Source organism: Homo sapiens, chromosome 22 (genome assembly GCF_000001405.40).
Source record: "Homo sapiens chromosome 22, GRCh38.p14 Primary Assembly".
NCBI lineage: Eukaryota > Metazoa > Chordata > Mammalia > Primates > Hominidae > Homo > Homo sapiens.
Window position 1 is genome coordinate 46992165 of NC_000022.11, and position 18004 is coordinate 47010168.

General features: G+C 48.3%; 1 protein-coding gene across 14 annotated transcripts in view, besides 4 other annotated features; it reads left to right on the forward strand.

The window, feature by feature from the left end:
• TBC1D22A (TBC1 domain family member 22A) overlaps positions 1–18004 on the forward strand; it is a 413050-nt gene that overhangs the window by 229515 nt on the left and 165531 nt on the right. For all 14 annotated transcript variants that reach the window (NR_104292.1, NM_001284304.2, XM_017028742.3 and 11 more), the window contains 1 exon segment: positions 5470–5545. Coding sequence is in view for 13 of the 14 variants with exons in the window: in NM_001284304.2 (NP_001271233.1) it covers positions 5470–5545 (76 nt within the window). In the remaining variant the exon portion in view is untranslated.
• Positions 1096–1924: an enhancer, noted in NCBI's record as "H3K27ac-H3K4me1 hESC enhancer chr22:47389156-47389984 (GRCh37/hg19 assembly coordinates)". NCBI's record gives its function as "activates a minimal SCP1, AML or CMV promoter by ChIP-STARR-seq in naive and primed H9 embryonic stem cells {active_cell/tissue: H9 hESC(naive and primed)}" and the evidence as "EXISTENCE:reporter gene assay evidence [ECO:0000049][PMID:30033119]".
• Positions 7311–7812: an enhancer, noted in NCBI's record as "H3K4me1 hESC enhancer chr22:47395371-47395872 (GRCh37/hg19 assembly coordinates)". NCBI's record gives its function as "activates a minimal SCP1, AML or CMV promoter by ChIP-STARR-seq in primed H9 embryonic stem cells {active_cell/tissue: H9 hESC(primed)}" and the evidence as "EXISTENCE:reporter gene assay evidence [ECO:0000049][PMID:30033119]".
• Positions 7813–8312: an enhancer, noted in NCBI's record as "H3K4me1 hESC enhancer chr22:47395873-47396372 (GRCh37/hg19 assembly coordinates)". NCBI's record gives its function as "activates a minimal SCP1, AML or CMV promoter by ChIP-STARR-seq in primed H9 embryonic stem cells {active_cell/tissue: H9 hESC(primed)}" and the evidence as "EXISTENCE:reporter gene assay evidence [ECO:0000049][PMID:30033119]".
• Positions 9213–9402: an enhancer, noted in NCBI's record as "active region_19267". NCBI's record gives its function as "activates an Ori minimal core promoter by ATAC-STARR-seq in GM12878 lymphoblastoid cells {active_cell/tissue: GM12878}" and the evidence as "EXISTENCE:reporter gene assay evidence [ECO:0000049][PMID:35858748]".

Sequence of the window (18004 nt, forward strand, 5' to 3'; positions counted from 1 at the left end):
TGATTCTTCACAGTGCAAGGATGCAGAGGAGACTCCATCAAGGGGTAAAGTCCAGAGGAAGCGGTATAAGCTTCCAAGCCCCCTCCTGGCGGAGTCACACAGGACACGCTGGATCCCTCCAGTGCGGGGCTGGGACGACCCGTCCGAAACGTTGCCTGCTGGGGAAGCACATTAGAGACTCAGCACCGAGGATGTTACTGGGGACTGGGCATGCGGACACTCTCTGCTTGGCATGTGCCCAAATGCAGCCTCCCAGGAGGAGAGCAGGTGCCCAGGGTGAACCACCCTGCACAGTGTAGGCCCGCCGAGTCATCCAGATCAGTCAGGGAATCGTGGGAACTCTCCTGAAACCCACATTCTAGGCACCGGCCGGGGACCGGCCTTGCAAGCAGGACTCTCCGGGGATAGCATTCCCAGGCCTGCGTGTTTGACTCCTTCGCACACATCGATACTCAGGACTTGATTTTCTGGCACGTAGGAGGCTTTCAGAGTTGAACAGATGAAAGAACTAGTATCTGATGTGGTTCTGCCTTCCGCTGGACTGATGCGTTAATGGCTTTAATGTATTAATGGCTGACAGTGGAGTGCAGCTGTGACAGGAGGCTTCCTAGCTCTGTCCTTGCGTGGTCAGAGCCCAGCTTCTGTGTTCAGGGCTGGTGGCCAGGGGCCCCCGAGAGGATGTGGAAGGGAGTCTTAAGAGTTGAAGGAAATGGAAGTCTCTCAGGCCATTGCTTGCAGAAAAGACTTCCCGAGGTGTTTCAGAGGCAGGTCAAGGCCTGGGCGTGGAAGGCACATTTGGTTTCAATGTGGGGAAGACACTATGTTACGGTGAAATTAGCCTGGAAAGAAGAGGCTGGACTTTGTGGGGAGGTGGATCCCTGGTCCAGGTGGAAGAGCACTTTGTCAGAGAGGCAGGAGGGAGTCTAACTTCTCCGTGAGCTGGCAGGTTTGACTCTGGGTACTTCCAGGTGAGCTGATAGGAATTTATATTTCGACTCTTCTCTAAAATGCTCCCTAAGAAAATTTTATTCTACTTTTCTTCCAAAAAGTGCAGAAAGTGTTATTTGTTATCGGGAAGAGTGTGATGTTGTAATGGCAACAGGTGTAAGGCAAGCTGAGCGTATTTTTAAAAATTTATATTCACAGACTTCACCTTCTGTGAAACATTTCACAACAGATCGTTGTCTTCAGCCCTTCCTCTCTTCCCTCTGATGCATATGTTTTATAAATTATATCCTTTTTTAAAGATACCAGATCTCAATTGGAAAGGACATGCATACTTACTTTTTATGAAGGGAATAATGTTAATATTATTACTAATGACATTTTTATAAGTGTAGAGGATTCTTGCTTAGTTCCTGTTTTGCTGCCCAGGTACGTGTTCACCAGCACAGGTGATCTGGGTGCCAGGTGTGGGAGGCGGGGTGCTGGGCTGGGGTGTCCCGAGGGCAAATCTGGTTTCTGGGCCTTAAGCAGACAGAGCCTGTGATCTACCCAGGGGCCTTGGTGCAGCCTGCGGGCAGCTGCTGGGAGGGCCTGGGCGGTCAGTGCCTCCCTGGGACAGGCTGCTGCGAGGGCCATGGGACATTCTTTTCTCCCTCCTTTCCTCAGCCACCTGGCTCTGGATTCCTTGGCCACGGTGTCTGCCTCCTTAGAGTGCCCTTGAAGGCTTCCTGGCCCCAGAGCGGGGCCTTCTGCAGGCTGGGCTCACCTCCCGAGCCAGGAGCCAGGAGGGCCCAGACCGACCCCCCTGTGTCTTAGCCTTGGCGCCTCGCCCTCGGGGGGTGGGGCCGGGCGTCCCTGCTACAGCCTTCTGAAGGCTGGCCTTCTCCGCCCCTAGCCTGAAGCCAGAATGCCGAGGCCATAGCTGTCAGTCTTTGCAGGTCTTTCAAAATGCAAACATTTTCTCTTTCAAAATGCAGACCTTTTCGTTATTGGCTCTCAGGTGTCATTCTTTTTTTTTAATTGTTTGGATTTCTGAGAATCCGTCTTCCCTACCTGGGTTTTGAACAAATTGAGAAATAAAACAAAACTGTGCCAGATGGAGGCAAAGAATAACTTTTATTTCTGCTAACTGAGAGCCTAAAATCCTGTCTTAGTGGGAGAGCCACCGAATGGCTGACTGATCCCAGGACCCATCAGGCTCACCCACCCCATCAGAGCCAGTGTTGAGGGCCGGGCCCTGCCCACCTGCTGTGGAGCCTCTTGAGAAGTGCAAGGGGCTGAACCCACCTTCGCCTCTCCCCGTTTTGGCCTCCATGGGGCGAGCATTTCTGCGGCTAGAGCAAGTCCAGGAGAGGCAGCAGCTGCGCTCCAAGCTGACTCCAGGTCTGTCTGTTATTCACATAACCATCAGGGACCTGGACAGCCAGGGACGTGGCCTCTCTTGGAGTGGAAGAGATCGCAGTCCCTCAGGACAGACCAATGGGGTGGTTAGAATGTGCTCCCCATGGCTCCGGAATTTGTCGGAATAGGACATTCATTAAATAATCTTAGGACCTCTGTGTACTGGAGGCTGCCACACCACTCTCAGGTTTACTTCTCACCCTTAATTCTGTGCAGCTATATTGTTCAACCGGGCTCATCAGAATTCCTCCACGAGGTTAAATTACATGATGTAAACTTGCAACACACAGTGTGCCCTAAATTTTAACATCAGTGTGCTCCTGTTATCCAATCTCTGGGGAGAAATTAAGTCTTAAAGGCTAACCATTGCAAGTTCAGGACCAAAGATGATGACAGTCAAAGGAATTCAAGTCTGGAGCCAAAATTTCTTACTCCTGTTAAATTTCAAATATACGAAAGCTCACAATTTGTCCTTAGCTGTTGCTGCGGCTCCCTCTCAGCCGGACAGGTGCCTGGGTCTCACTGACACCATCGCAGCTCCTTCAGGGCCTAAAAGTCCTGCCCATTAAACACCGTATTTTGGACAGCCAAATTCAGGAGGCCTCCAAGCTTCTCCCTGAATCAGCCCACGACATCTAGGAAACATATCATCCCCAGGCCCGGGAGCAGTCACTCCAGAGATCCTCTCCCCGGAGCCCATCCCTCCTGCTACACAAGGTCACCGGAGGGCCTTGGCGTCATTCTAAGTGAAGGTGGCAAACGGAGTTTTCGTGGTTCTGCCCTCAGAGATGTGACAGTTTGGAATCCAGAGCCTGTCACTTGAAATCCACCTGGGAGAAATCCCTCAGCAAGCCGGCAGGTCTGACTCGGCTCATTTTCCATTTCTAGGGAAAGAAAAATCCTTAGGGCCTCGTAGGCATTTTTTGTGTTCTGTGCCACAGTGGCTGCCATGCCTGCTCTTGTTAGGAGATGTCATGTGTGCTCTGCGTGTGTGCACGCACTTTGTGTGTGTGTGTGTGTGTGAGAGAGAAACGTAGAGAGTGCTGGCTGCGTGTGTTCACATTTGACTTTCCAGACTTGGGAATGCTGCTGGCCCGAAGGCAGTCGCTCAGCTCCACGTTTGTCTTACCTGGGGTCACCTCCTGGGTTCTGGAGCTGGGGGTTCTGTGAGTGCTGTTTCCACGTCACTGGGGCCTCCCGAGGGCTGACACCCTTGCTGTGTGCCCTGTCACCCTTCCTCCACCTGCGGATTCTGTGAACTCTGTGGCCGCGTCCCCTCACAGCACAGGGAGGCCTGCCTGGTTGACCACCTCGAGGAACCTCTCTGTACTGGAGGCTGCCACACCACTCTCTGGTTTACTTCTCACCCTTAATTCTGTGCTTGAACCGTTTTCCAGTCCTGAGCCTATGGAAAAGGAGTATCAGTATCAAGCCCAGATCAGTCTTTCGACTTCCCTCCTGGGCTCTGAATGCCGGGTGCCACGTGGACAGCTGCCCGTGTAGACCTGCCCCGCTGCCACGCAAAGCAGCACCTCCCTCCTGCCAGGTGGTGCCTGCAGACCCCTGCCCCCTCAGGCGCACAGGCAGCAGATCATCCCCCACTGTCGGAAAGGCTGCCCTGATGCTGCCTGCTACGAGCCAGCACCTGCCTGGTGGCCCGAGCCCACTTGGTGAGCTGCAGTTGCCTGTGCCCAGCACCTCCTGTTTGGACCAAGACTGCATTACCTGTGCCCTTACTGAGGCCAGTGGCCTGCCTGGCTTCCCCTAGCTGAGACTCATGGGGCCATCCCCAGTGTCACTCCCTGAGGGCAGAGCTGCCACAGGCAGTCATCTCCCAGTGCTGGCCGGGCCAGAGGCCCTGTGTGCTCACTAAAGAGTTGGAAGCGTAGGCCAGAACCCACAGGAGCCCCAGGCACAGTGCCCGTTGTTTCGCTGCCTCCCGATTCTCCTTTCTCCACGGGTGGTTCATGGATTAGCAACCTTAGTTCCACCTGCAACCCTGGTTCCCCTTGCCATGTAAGGCCACACATCCACAGGTTACAGGGAGTGGAACCTTGGCATCTTTGGGGCTGGTTATTATTCTGCCTTCCACATTCACTGCTGTTGGGTATAGATTTAAGTCTGTTAACCACGAGTCTGGTTGAAACCCTCCTTCTGAAAATGCCCCCGACCACCGGCTGAGGCCCAAAGGGCAGCCTCCATAGGGAATGCCCTTCCCTTGTTGATGGGAGCTGCCTCTTCATGTTCCTGCTGTGGGATGAGGCAGCACCCCCTAGTGTCATGTGTGTGCTCCCTTAGGTGGTGACAGCAGGAGTAATGGACCTGTCACTGCCCCGGTACCTGCTGTGTCTTGAAATCTCTTCCACATTCCACTTGTTTGTTTCCCTGAGTCCTAGAAGGCAGTGTTATTACTCTCATGTTATTGGTAATGAAACGGAAGCCCAGAGAGGTTATGTTACTTGCCAAGGTCACACAGCTCCTGAGTCCTAGAGCTGGGGCCCCATTCCTGGGCTGTTTGACTTGAAACTGCCCAGGCCCCCTTCCCTTTGATGCTATGCAGACCTTCCTATGTTAGTGTCTGAACTTCACCTGAGTTCACCCAACTATATCTCTGAGAGTAAAGTCACATGTCCACTGTTTTCACCCATGCAGTGACTGTGTCATTAGCATTTGGACTGTGGCCACGATGATGGTGCTGTCAGCACCGGGCACCTTTGCCGTTGGTTCCCGGCAGGGCTGAGTGCTTAGGGTCCAGGTGGCCAGCGAGGTGGTCAGTTCCCACAGACGGTTCTGGTCAATGAGCTATGCCCATGGATGCCTGTTTTTCAATTTAGATGTAAGTGTCTTACATTTACAAATAGAAATGTACCATTCAGTGTTCCCTGAGATGCACGTGCTTATCACCTGACATCGGGAAATACTGGCCTTTCCCTTCTCAAAATAGCAGTCAGCGGCGCTGTGCTGTGCAGGGTGCATCCACTTGTGTGTTTCTCGAGATAAAATCTCTGTTTGTGAATTCGTCCTATTATAAAGCTGTTCACTTTATCCCAGCTGCCTTTTTCCCTTTTGGAAAGTTTGTTTTATTTTATATGCATATGATTCACATTATTCTTTTTTCCTTAGGACAACTACACCTTTGCCCAACCTGGGATTCAAATGAAAGTGAAAATGTTAGAAGAACTCGTGAGCCGGATTGATGGTAAGCCAGCTTCCCGCGCAGCCCCTCTCTGTGGGCGGGGGGAGGTGGCCCTCAGCCCTCGGTGGGACAGGGAGCTGTCCTCATCCGCCGGCAGCATCCTGGCCTGCTCAGGATCCCTCATGGGCATCCTTCTGAGACAGCTGCTGGTGCGTGAGCTGCTCTTATTTCTTCTTATTAAGGGGATATCATCAGAATTCAGTACATTCACTTTGCAGGACAGTAGTGAGTGTGCACCCAAAGCAGGCAGTGCTCACTCCTTATTAAGCCTGGTGATTGTCATAATCTAGGTGACGGATGGTTGTTTATGGTGGTCCTTCGGTACTCTGTTCCCTGCCTCTGTGCATCATTTTTCTATCAAGGATGCTAGAATAATTTCTCCATGGAATCTAACTAATTACTGAGTCTGGAAATAACATCTTTAATATTATAGAAAAATTATAGTATGTGCTCAGGCAATTTTAGATTGTGCTTTCATGTTTAAGTGGGGGCTTTGAAATACTTTTTGCCTTCATCTTTAAAATAATCCCCCCTGCGATGTGCTGACTGTCATATTACAATAGCAGAGTTTAATTAAATGGAAGCTGAGAGATAATGCTTGCCCGTTCCAGGCATATTCTCCTGATAGTTTGTTAAATTAATGAACAGAGCATTAACTAAGTGATGCCAAGCAGAACCGGGCATGTATTTGTGATACCAGCTGGTCAGTGATGAGGTGTGGAAAAGAGACATGCTCTTTCACAAAGAGTCCCATGCGCGCTTGGCAAATTATTTCACAGAATGTGGAGACAAATTGCACTTTGTTGGAAACTTAGCCCTGGCCACGTGCCTTGCAGGGCCCTGCCCGCTGAGCGTTGCCGGTCACTGTGCCTTTTCCCCTCCCTGCGCCTTTAGCACAGAAGGCCGTAACAGCAGTCTTCACGGGAAGGGCGCTCGGTTTGGGAAACTGCTGAGTGATATTCTAAAATGGACTCCTACAAATTACAAACTCCATTTTGTTCCTTGATTGAATCTGATTTTTAACTCTGTGTCTCATGGTGATTACCTAATTTCCATATTATGAAGTTGTCTGCAGTTCTTCTGATAATACTTTCAGTGTTACGTTTAGCTGCTTTTCAACCCATCATCTGTTAAAAATACCGTTTTTGCCTCCGTCAGTGCGTTCATGTGCGCTCACCGCACGCTCCACCGCGCGGTCTTGTTTGGGTGCGGCTGGGTTCTTTTCCCTGCCAGCACTTTCACAAGCATTCCCCAGCCTCACTGAGTTCTCTGAAGTATGATTTGCAGTAGATGTGAATTACACGTTCCTCTGAAGTATGATTTGCAGTAGATGTGAATTACACGTTCTGAGCAGGTTCCTCCTTTTCCGCTTGTGTCCCTTGGAAGGCGTATTTCGTGTTTTCGTGGAGGTTAGAAAGTTGTGGTTAGTGCTCGTTTGTTCCGGTGCTGCAGTTTGGGAAATACTTGAATTGATTTTCTCTGGTGCTGTGGTTCAGAAAGAAGCACATTGCGGATTCGCTGGATGATTGTTTAAGAGAGCAGCAGCGATAACCAAAGGAACCCCAACGAAATCTGTACTTTTTAGTAAATCATATTTTTATTTTCAGCGCAGTCTCTGAGTAGGCCATTTTCATATGGCAATTTTTTGTTTAAAGGATCAGTGCTTCACAACAGAGAAAGATGTGTGTTGCCGTTGAGAGGTTAAACTGTCTAACTTGTTCCTGTTCTTCTAATGAAACCTTAAGGAATTTCTATCATGGCCTCATAATAAGAATACCCAGGCTGCTAAAGCAGTAAATAGACAGAATTTCTCGCGTTTGAGCTCTCAGACTGGTGGGCGCCATCATCCCTGAGCAAACTTGGGAGAAGCATCTGCAGGTCTCGGCCACGTGAAGCTCCCCCTCACCTGTTTCATCACTTGCCTCCTAGAGAAAGGATTTGTGGGTTGGAACTTTTTGCAGGGATTGTAAAGATTTTATTAAGGGCAGAGGATATTCTAGGAAGAAAAAATTGCTTAAAGAAAAAAAAAGCTTCTCAGGCCGGGCGCGGTGGCTCACGCCTGTAATCCCAGCACCTTGGGAGGCCGAGGCAGGCGGATCACGAGGTCAGGAGATCGAGACCATCCTGGTTAACATGGTGAAACCCTGTCTCTACTAAAAATACAAAATATTAGCCGGGCGTGGTGGCAGGCGCCTGGAGTCCCAGCTGCTTGGGAGGCTGAGTCAGAAGACTGGCGTGAACCCGGGAGGCGGAGCTCGCAGTGAGCCGAGATCGTGCCACTGCACTCCAGCCTGGGTGACAGAGCGAGACTCCATCTCAAAAACAAAAACCAAGCCTCTCCCTCTTTTCTGCGTTTTAGGAGAAGGACAGCATTTATTTCAGAAAATTTTGATAATTCAGTGAAGGAAAACATCTTCATGGACTCGTTGATTAAGAATGGAGAGGTTTTGAGGGCATTGCCCAGATGGGAATAGTTCAGAAAAGAGCCGAATTGCTCTGCAAAGTCAAGCGGAAGTTTCAGCAGTGGTGGCGCGAGGATAAGGGCTCATCAGGAGCGAGCAGAGAGCTGGAGGAGGGGGAGGTCTTGGGGATGGAGGGAAGCCTGGTGAGGGGTGAGAGGGCAGATCGGAAGAGGGGCTGCATCACTCTTGTTTTCTTGTGGTAAGGAGTTGTGAAAGAATCTCTCAAAAGCACTTCTGAGTAGTTTCTTCCTATCTTGAGTAGTACTGTGACCCTTCTTTGTCATCCCTAAACCTTTAGTAAAAGTCTGCCGTGGAGACACGAAGGTGCTGAGAATGAAGAGAGAGGGCTGTGTCTGTAATGGAAGCCGCGTGGAAAGGAGGATGGGCGGCAGCCTTCGAGGGTGTGTGCTGGGCAGGGAGTAAAGCGACAGGCAAGCCCGCAGATGGGGAACTCCCTGGGAAGCCCCCTGTATCCTTCGGGACAGACATTGTATGAGTTCCCACAGAATCAGAGAGGGTGACTGGAGCCACTGAATTTGGAGTGAAAGAAAAAGGTGAGAGTAGGAGGAACGTGCGTTTTCAGTCGTGGCAGGCTAGATAATTTCAACCACATTTCCCACTGGATAAGACCTTTTTGTTTTTTTAAATTAAGCCAACAAAGCAAAAAGAAAAAAAAAAAAGGAAAGAAAAATAAATGTCTTAAAAGCATTGAATTGCTATCTACAAAATAAGGACTTCCTGGGCCAGAGTGAAGCTAGGACCTGGCTAGGTATGCCCAGCTCTAAAGCCACCAGTGTTCTGGGTGTGTGTTTCCTGATGCAGAAGAAAAATCATCCCAAAGCTGGTTGTGGTTTGGGCGCCTCATGTAGTGCCTGCATCCAACCCGATTAGTCAGGATAGGGATCTGAGAAATGCCCATACAGTTTGTGAGACCCAGAATAGTGACACGTGAGGGCAAAGTGGACGTGATACTCCCTCATAAAATCTAGGTTCCAACCTGAGAGGATCAGGGTTGTTTGAACCTCAGTTATGATGATTCTATACTGGAGTTCCCCAGAATGCTAGTGAGAAGCAAAACAAAATCTTGTCTGGAGGAAGTTACAACTGAAATTGTATTTTTTTCTTTCTTTCTTTTTTTTTTTTTTTTTTTAATAACTCCAAACACCTTTTTCAAATAAAGTGACCCACACACATGAACCCGGGAGGCGGAGGTTGCAGTGAGCCGAGATCGCGCCATTGTACTCCCGCCCGGGCAACAAGAGTGAAACTCTATCTCAAAAAAGAAAAAAAAAAAAAAAAAAAGTTGGGTGATGTTTTTGTGACCAGAAATATGCCATTGAAACTTACCTCTTGTTTCTGTCAATCACCCTGTGGTAAAATTGGTTTCATTATATGTCGTTTTGCTTCAGGTCAGCTTCTGAGAACCTGTGGATGATTGTAAGTGGGTATTTGGTGGCTAGTGCTGCCGAGCTCCACAGGCACCAGCCTAGAAAGGACTTCAGAGATAAGAGCATAAATCTGGAGTTTTAACCCAAATTTAATTCTTTTATATAATCTTTTGGAATATTTTAAGGGCTTGGCATTTTTCTTCAGGAAGAATAATTTTTCTGAAAAATTCTCGAAACAAGGCTCATGGCTAAGTGGAATTAAATAACTAAAAGTTAAATATAAGTCTTAAAGTTTATTTTGTTTTATGTTAGAATAGGGCATGTGTCCAGCAACTCCACAAAAAATAGAATTAGGATGTCGCCTAATCTGTATTATCCTGCCTTGTGTTACTTAAAATTTAATAAGCATTTGTAGGCTCAAAGAGGGTATGCTGTTCTTTCTAAAATTATCTAGCTAATGTGTTCTCAATATTTCTATTAATTGTCAATCTGTTCCCTACTTAGCAAAGGATTTTGTATATAAAATCAACAGTTCGCACCAATTATTTAGTAATTTACTGCTGTAATAATAAATGTACCTTTACTCTCCAACTGATAGAATTTCAGCGTATAAAGCACACGATGAGATTTCCACTCCGTATTACATCGAGAACGCTTACACCTACTTGAAATTCCACATTTTTGCAGTGAATCCTAATGACGTCCCCTGTACATTTTGTTTTTACATCTGTCACGTCTGATGTTAACCTCTGAAATCACATGATCCCTGTTTGTCCCCAAGATAGAATGGCCAGAGGAGTGGGCTTCAGCCCTAGCCTTTCCAAAGGCTGGAGTCAGAGCCCCTCTGTGTGAATTCTGGGGCCAGCCCCACCTGGTACTCAGTGTCATGCATCTTTTGTGACATAGATGACGTCTGTATAAATGAGATATTTGCTACATTTTTTGATTAAAAAAACCATAGAGAACTTTTTTCAGTATTTTAAAAGAATATTTGAAACCTCAGCAGATGTGTCCATTTGATTATGTCCATTCTTGATTTTTTCAGATTTAAGAGTAGATCATAAACAACTGCATTTCAGATCAGAGAATTGTCCCATTGGGGGTGACACTGGCACTAAAAGGGAGGCTCTTGGATTGTTTCTGGTGCCACAGTGGTGGTGCCAGGGCACCGTTGGATGAGGGGAGTGGGAAGAGCTGTTCCCTGGGGCCCCGGTTCTGGTGGGCTCCACCCTCACGTTGTTCTGAGGGGACTTAAGGCTGGGAGGCCCTCATGGGTCAGGAGGAGCTGCTGGCAAAACCTGATAGTTGCTAAGCTGATCTGAACTTAGCTTGCAAGGAGCAGCAGCCCAGAGGCCTTCCCAGCAACAGCATCGAAGCTGTCGCCAGGGCCGCCTAGGGGATGTAGGATGGGCCACAGCCATGTGCCTTCTGAGTTTTCTCCTGCAAACTGTGCCTTTGCCTCTCTTTAGTAAAAAATGGAAACAACTGCATCTCTCTACCTTCTAACCCCACGGAACCTCCAAGGGCTAGGGGCGCCAAACTGAGCAAATAAAAATAGAGAACGTCTAGTTAAACTTCAATTTCATATAAACAGTGAACAATTTTTTAATATAAGTATGCCCTGAGCAGTGTTTGGCACACACTGAAATTCAGAGTTCACTGATTCTTCTGTATTTATCTGGTAATCCTCCAGGGGTGAGTTCTGAGTGGGGTGAAGTGGAATTCAGACCCAGGCTTGAGCTCTAGGTTACCCTTTGCTCCCCGAGGTTACAGATGACAAGAATGTGGCCTTAAATGTAATGTGTTATTTGAAATTAAAGTATACGCACACACACCCTACACACACATGCCTGTACACACATACCCTACGCACACATGCCTGTACACACGCACCCTACGCACACATGCCTGTACACACGCACCCTACGCACACATGCCTGTACACACACACCCGCCAGATACATATACACACACCCTACACACACATGCCTGTATACACACACCCTACGCACACATGCCTGTATACACACACCCTACGCACACATGCCTCTATACACACACCCACCAGATACATATACACACACCTACAGATGCACCCCTGTATACACACACACCCCTACACACATGCCTGTATACACACACCCTACACACATGCCTGTATACACACACTCTACACACACATGCCTGTACACACACACCGTACACACACATGCCTATACACACACACCCTACACACACATGCCTGTACACACCCTACGCACACATGCCTGTACGCACACACCCTACGCACACATGCCTGTATACACACACCCACCAGATACATATACACACACCCTACACACGCATGCCTGTATACACACACCCTACGCACGCATGCCTGTATACACACACCCTACGCACGCATGCCTGTATACACACCCTACGCACACATGCCTGTATACACACACCCTACGCACGCATGCCTGTATACACACACCTACAGATGCACCCCTATATACACACACCCCTACACACATGCCTGTATACACACACACCCTCATATACACACACCCCTTCACAGATGCCTATACACACATCTGCTATATACACATACACACTCCTATACACACACCCCTGCACACATGCCTATATATATACTCCTCATACATACACACACCCCTACACACACCCCTATATACACGCATCTGCCATATACACATATACACACACTCCTATACACACACCCCTGCACACAATCCTCATACATACACAACCCCTCATACACACACCCCTATATACATGCGTCTGCCACATACACATATACATACACTCCTATATACACACACCCCTGCACACAACCCTTATACATACACACATGCCTGTATACACACCCAGCCCTACACATACCCCTATATACACACTCCTGCCATATACACATACACACCCTGCACACATGCCTATACACACACACTACTTCACATATGCCTATACACACACCTGCCATATACACAGGCAGGCTCCTGTACACACACCCCTGCACATGTGCCTGTATACACAGATACCCCTCATGCATACACACCTGCCATATACACATACACACCTCTGTATACACACTCAGATGCCTATATACACACACACCTACACACATGCCTATATACACACATACCCCTCATACATACACACACCTGCCATATACACATACACACACCTACATACACATCTCTATATACACACTCAGATGCCTATATACACACACACTCCTACACAAATGCCTGTACACACACCTGCCATGTATAGATACACCCACACTACTGTACATACACACACCCCTGTATAAGTGCCTATATACACACACCCCTATATATACATACCTGCCATATACACATACACCTACATACATATCCCTATATACACATACCCTTACATCTGTACACACCTGTCATATATGCATACACATACATGCCTTTATACACACACATCCCTATACATATAGACAGGCCTATACACACCCACCATATACACACACCTGCCACATACATATACATGCATGCCTGTATACATACACACCTTTGTATTCACACACTCTTACACACGTGTCTATACACAAACACATGCCTGTATATACACATACCACTATACACACGTGCCTATACACACCTGCTATATATCCACACCCCTCATATATACACACATGCCTATACACAGAAACACCACTATACACACACCCCCTACACACATGCCTATACACATATACACTCACTCCTGTATACAGGTACCCCCTACACACATGCCTATACACCTACACCCCTCATATATACACACACCTCCACACATGTCTGTACACACATACCCCTATGCACGCACCAATACACATATATACACATACCCCTATAACACACACCCTTATACACACATGCCTATACACCCACCATATACACACGCATACCTACACACACCTAGACATACCTACCTGCCTGCCTGTAACACACACCTTCCCATATTCACACATACCCTCCTACACACATATGCATATAAACATACACGCAAACCTATACACACACACACCTCTGTATACTCACATACCCCCTACAAACATGCCTGTACACACACACACACACCCACACACACACCCATATACATATACACATACACACCTACACAGATACACCTACATGCCTATATACACACATCCTCATATACATGTACACTCCCGTATACACACACACACCTACACACATATCCAATATACACACACAGCCTTATATACACACTCTCCATATACACACCCCCCATACACATACACAGCTACACACAGATGCCTATACAGACACCCCCATATACACACACACCTCCTACACACATCTATACACAGACACACACCCATATGCACACACACACACCCTTATATATACACACCCCTACACATGCCTATACACACACCTACACACAGTCCCGTATACACAGGTGCCTATACATGCACAAACACACCCCTATACACATGCCTTTACACACACACACATGTATTTAGACACACCCACTTTAGATATGTTTAATCTCATTGGCATGGTCACTGTGTTTGAGGCTATTTATGTTTCCATATTCTTGGGGAATGTGTTGTTGCTGGTCGCACATTTCCGTCGCTTGATGTGTCAGAGGAGGGTCACCCTGTCTCCTCCAGGAGAGGTTATTGTTGGTGGCCAAGGACTTCGATTGAGCTATAAATAAACTTTTCTCATTTGACTTTTCACAGTGCAGGCATCGCAGTGAGGCTGCTTACCCAGTGATTGCTTTGAAGTGAAGCTGCCCTTCATTAGTTTTGGTCAATTTCTGGCCCATTTCTGCCATCTTATTATTCTCTGAAAGGCTGGCTTAGGACTTCTTGACTGATCTGGTGAATGTATTCACAATCGGGTGGAGGTTGACCGCCCTGTAGTTGGCTGGATCTTGGCGGTGACCCCGGGTGGTGAGACCTTAGGCTGTGAGCCTGCGTCCACAGCACATCTTCTGTGGCCGTCTCAGGCCACCCAGGCCGGATGGCGGCCACCCAGGATGGTGGCCCCGTTGATCTGACCCTGTAGGAGCTGCTGACTTCTGCCTTTCAGCTCCTTAATCAGCTTTGCGTTTTCTCCCCCCGCTCTAGTGGCGGTTGCACCCCAGACCCTCCAGTCCTCGTTCTCCAGCCCTAGGCCATGTGACACCACAGCCAGGACTCTCAGGCCTCTGCCTTGGCGCTTCCTTTGTTCCTGACTGTTCCTTTGTCTAAAACCCTTTCTTGCCCTTCTGCCGCCTTCCCTGACAGGCTGCTTTTCATTTGTGCCCAACCACACCAGTTCTTGGTGCTGCTCAGAGGTAGGAGGAAGTATTGCTGGGTTGAGCCAAGGGTGAGTAGCATGAAACAAGTGTCACACAGGAGCTTGGGCTTCAGAGAGCTTGGAGCTGGGGACAATAACGCATAAGCAGGAAACAGCCAGATGCCAGCCCAAGAAGGACTCTGTGCCATGTGCTCGATGGTGCGGTACACCTGCTGGGAGGGGTCTGCAGGTGGCCCCTTCTTCAGGCCAGAGACAAAAAGGCGCTATCAGAATCCCAGAAAAATGTCACTGTCACATTGACCTCGACCCAGGGGTCCCAAAGCTCCTGGGTCCCTGAAGAGTTTTCTTCTGTGATGTTCCTCCTGGTTTGGGGCCATCATGAGTACTTCTGAATTGGGTTGGTAGTGTGCCACAGCTGGCTCGCTGTGCCTAGGGCACTGGGCAGGCACAGAACATGTGTCCTGCACCTCTGCAGAGCGTCTCCAGCAGGGTGGCCTGGGAACCACGCAGATGAAAAGGCAGCTGCTTCCGACAGTGACTGATAAGTGTCACAGAGCTACAGGTGCATTGTAAGAGCACATGGGAGAGGCAGAGGAGCCCTTGGGAAGGCTTTCCTGCCCCAGAGATAAAATGGCTTGTGTTTGCTTGGACCCATAATAACATACCACAGGCTGGTGGCTTAAAGCACAGTTTACTTTATCATGGTTTTGGATGCCACAAGTCCAAGATGATGGTTCTAGCTGCTTTGGTTTCTGGTGAGGGCTGTCCCCTAGGGTTGGGTTGCAAAAGGCTGCCTTCTTGCTCACATGTAGATATAGCCCTTCCTGGGTGGGTGCCTGTGGGGGTAGCGGTGGTGGGGAGGGGTGGCAGTGGGAGAGAGAGCAAGCAGGAGCTCTCTGCCATCTCTTATAGGGACACTAATCCTGTGGGATCAGGGTCCCACCCTCACAATCGCATTTAATCTTAATCACTTCCTTAGAAGCCCCATCTCCAGATACAGCCACACTGTGTGTTAGGGCTTCAACATAGCAATTTTGGGGAAACACTAACATTCAGCTTGGAAGTGTGGGGTTTAGACCAAGATACAGTTCATGGAAGAAATGATCATCATTATCATTCATTAGCAGGAAGCATGACTCTTGTCTTGGGCAGGTGGAGCAGAAGAATCAAGTTTCAAATATTTCACATTTTCCAAATCAAAATAATGCCATGAGGGAAGGAAGAGGGGACTCTTCATTTCTCTTTGAAATCGAGTCTTTGAAGCTTTATAATCAAGGGCACCAAAAAACACCAGCAAATTTGGATTTTGTCCATTGAAATGGCCGTTAAGGACTTACTCCAGAATGCTGGTTCATGATAGATGGCTATTGACGAAATGAGATCCTTCCAATGTTTGTTATGTTTGTTCTGTGTGGAGCTCTCAGTGTGCTGTGGGTTGAGGATGTGAGCATCTTGGGGTCAGGTGCCCTTTTCTCAGCCCTCTCCATTCATTTTCTAGCCTGGAGGGAGCAGATGCAGATAGCTGTGGGTGTGGCCTTGATAACTGGCACTTGCCAACTCTCCCCAGGTGTAGAGTTCCCTCATAGAGTTGGCCTGGAGACCCTGCCTGGGACCTGAACCAGGACAGGGCCTTCTCACACCTCCCTTGGATCCACATTTCAGGACCAGTCTTTGTGGAGGCTGATTTGTAAGGCAGCCTCTGTGTCCAGTGTATCTGCCCACCTGCTGTGCAGAGCATCCTAACCCTGACCTGGTCCGTATCTGCAGGAAGGATAGGACAACGATGGGCTGCAGCAAGGGGCAAGGCTGCATCTGGAAGGCAGCCTGTCCCTGCCCAGGGTGCTTCCTGATGATCTCAGGGCGGCCAGTGCTGGCCCCTTGGAGTGAGGCCTGGGTACAGGCATTGAGAGAGGCAGGAGAGCCTTCTGTCCCTTCTTCCAGGTAGAGCAAACAAGCTGGTGCCTGTAAACTGGTAGAAACCTCAGGAACAGGCTGACCTCCCACCGGGAAGTTAGAAGGAAATTAGTTCCCTATGTTTTGGTGGCTGAGTGACAGCGAAAATGCCAGGCCAGGAGCAACAATGGGAGATTTTGGTTTGGGGACTAGTTTGTGGGTTAGAGGAGGAAAGGACTTATTAGAAATAATTCTCGAACATTTCTGGCTTATTCTAATCTACTCTTCAGCTCTGTGGAGTAACAGCTTGGAGTTTGGAAGCTGGCAGAATTGGGTTGACTTTCTGGCTGTGTTGTATACTGGAGGATTGGCTTTGTGAGGAATGTCCCCACTCTAGCCCTTGTTTCCCCATGCATGACGGGTCATGGGAGTAAAGTACTTACAGGAGTGCCTGGCACACTTAAGTCTCATGCAGTGTTAGTACCCATTATTGTCATTATCATCACCATCAGCATCATCATCACCATCATCATGATTGTCATCACCAGCATCATAAACACCATCATCACCACCATCATGTCATCATCACCATCATTATGTCATCACCACCATCATCATCACCATCACCATCATCATTTCATCACCATCACCATCATTTCCATCATCACCATCATTGTGTCATCACCACCATCATCATCACCATCACCATCATTTCTGTCATCACCATCGTCATCACTATCACCATCATTTCATCACCATCATCACCACCATCATCTTCACCATCACCATCATCATCATTGCCATCATCACCATCATTACGTCATCACCAGCATCATCATCACCATCACCATCATTCTGTCATCACCATCATCATTACTATCACCATCATTTCATCACCGTCATCATTACCATCATCACCATCATCATCACTATCACCAGCATCATTTCATCACCATCACCACCACCATCATCATCACTATCACCATCATTTCCTCACCATCATCACCATCAACAAACTGTACAGCAGGATGGGTCCATGGTGGGGCTGAGTGTTGGAAGTTTAGTCTGAAGGCCTCTGCTTCTCCCACGTTGGACCTTGTTGAGCTGCCAAGGGCCCTGTCCATGCCTGCTCCTGAGGCAGCCTCTTCTGTCCAGCCCCCAGGGAGGTTGGTTGGAGTGGAAGACACTGGCTGAGTCTGAGTCAGGGGCACCGAGGTGACAGTGGCCATTGTTATTAGTCATATCTTACACTTTCACCTATAAGGAAGAAAATGCCAACAAAACGCGGTACTGGAGAATGGTTCCACCTGTGTGGGAAACGGCTTTATGTACCTGAACATTTTCCCTTTCCTGTGTTTTTAATTCAGGTTAAATGTGATTTTAATCAAATTTCTCTGAAAGTTGTCTTGACTACCTCGTAAGGTTAAA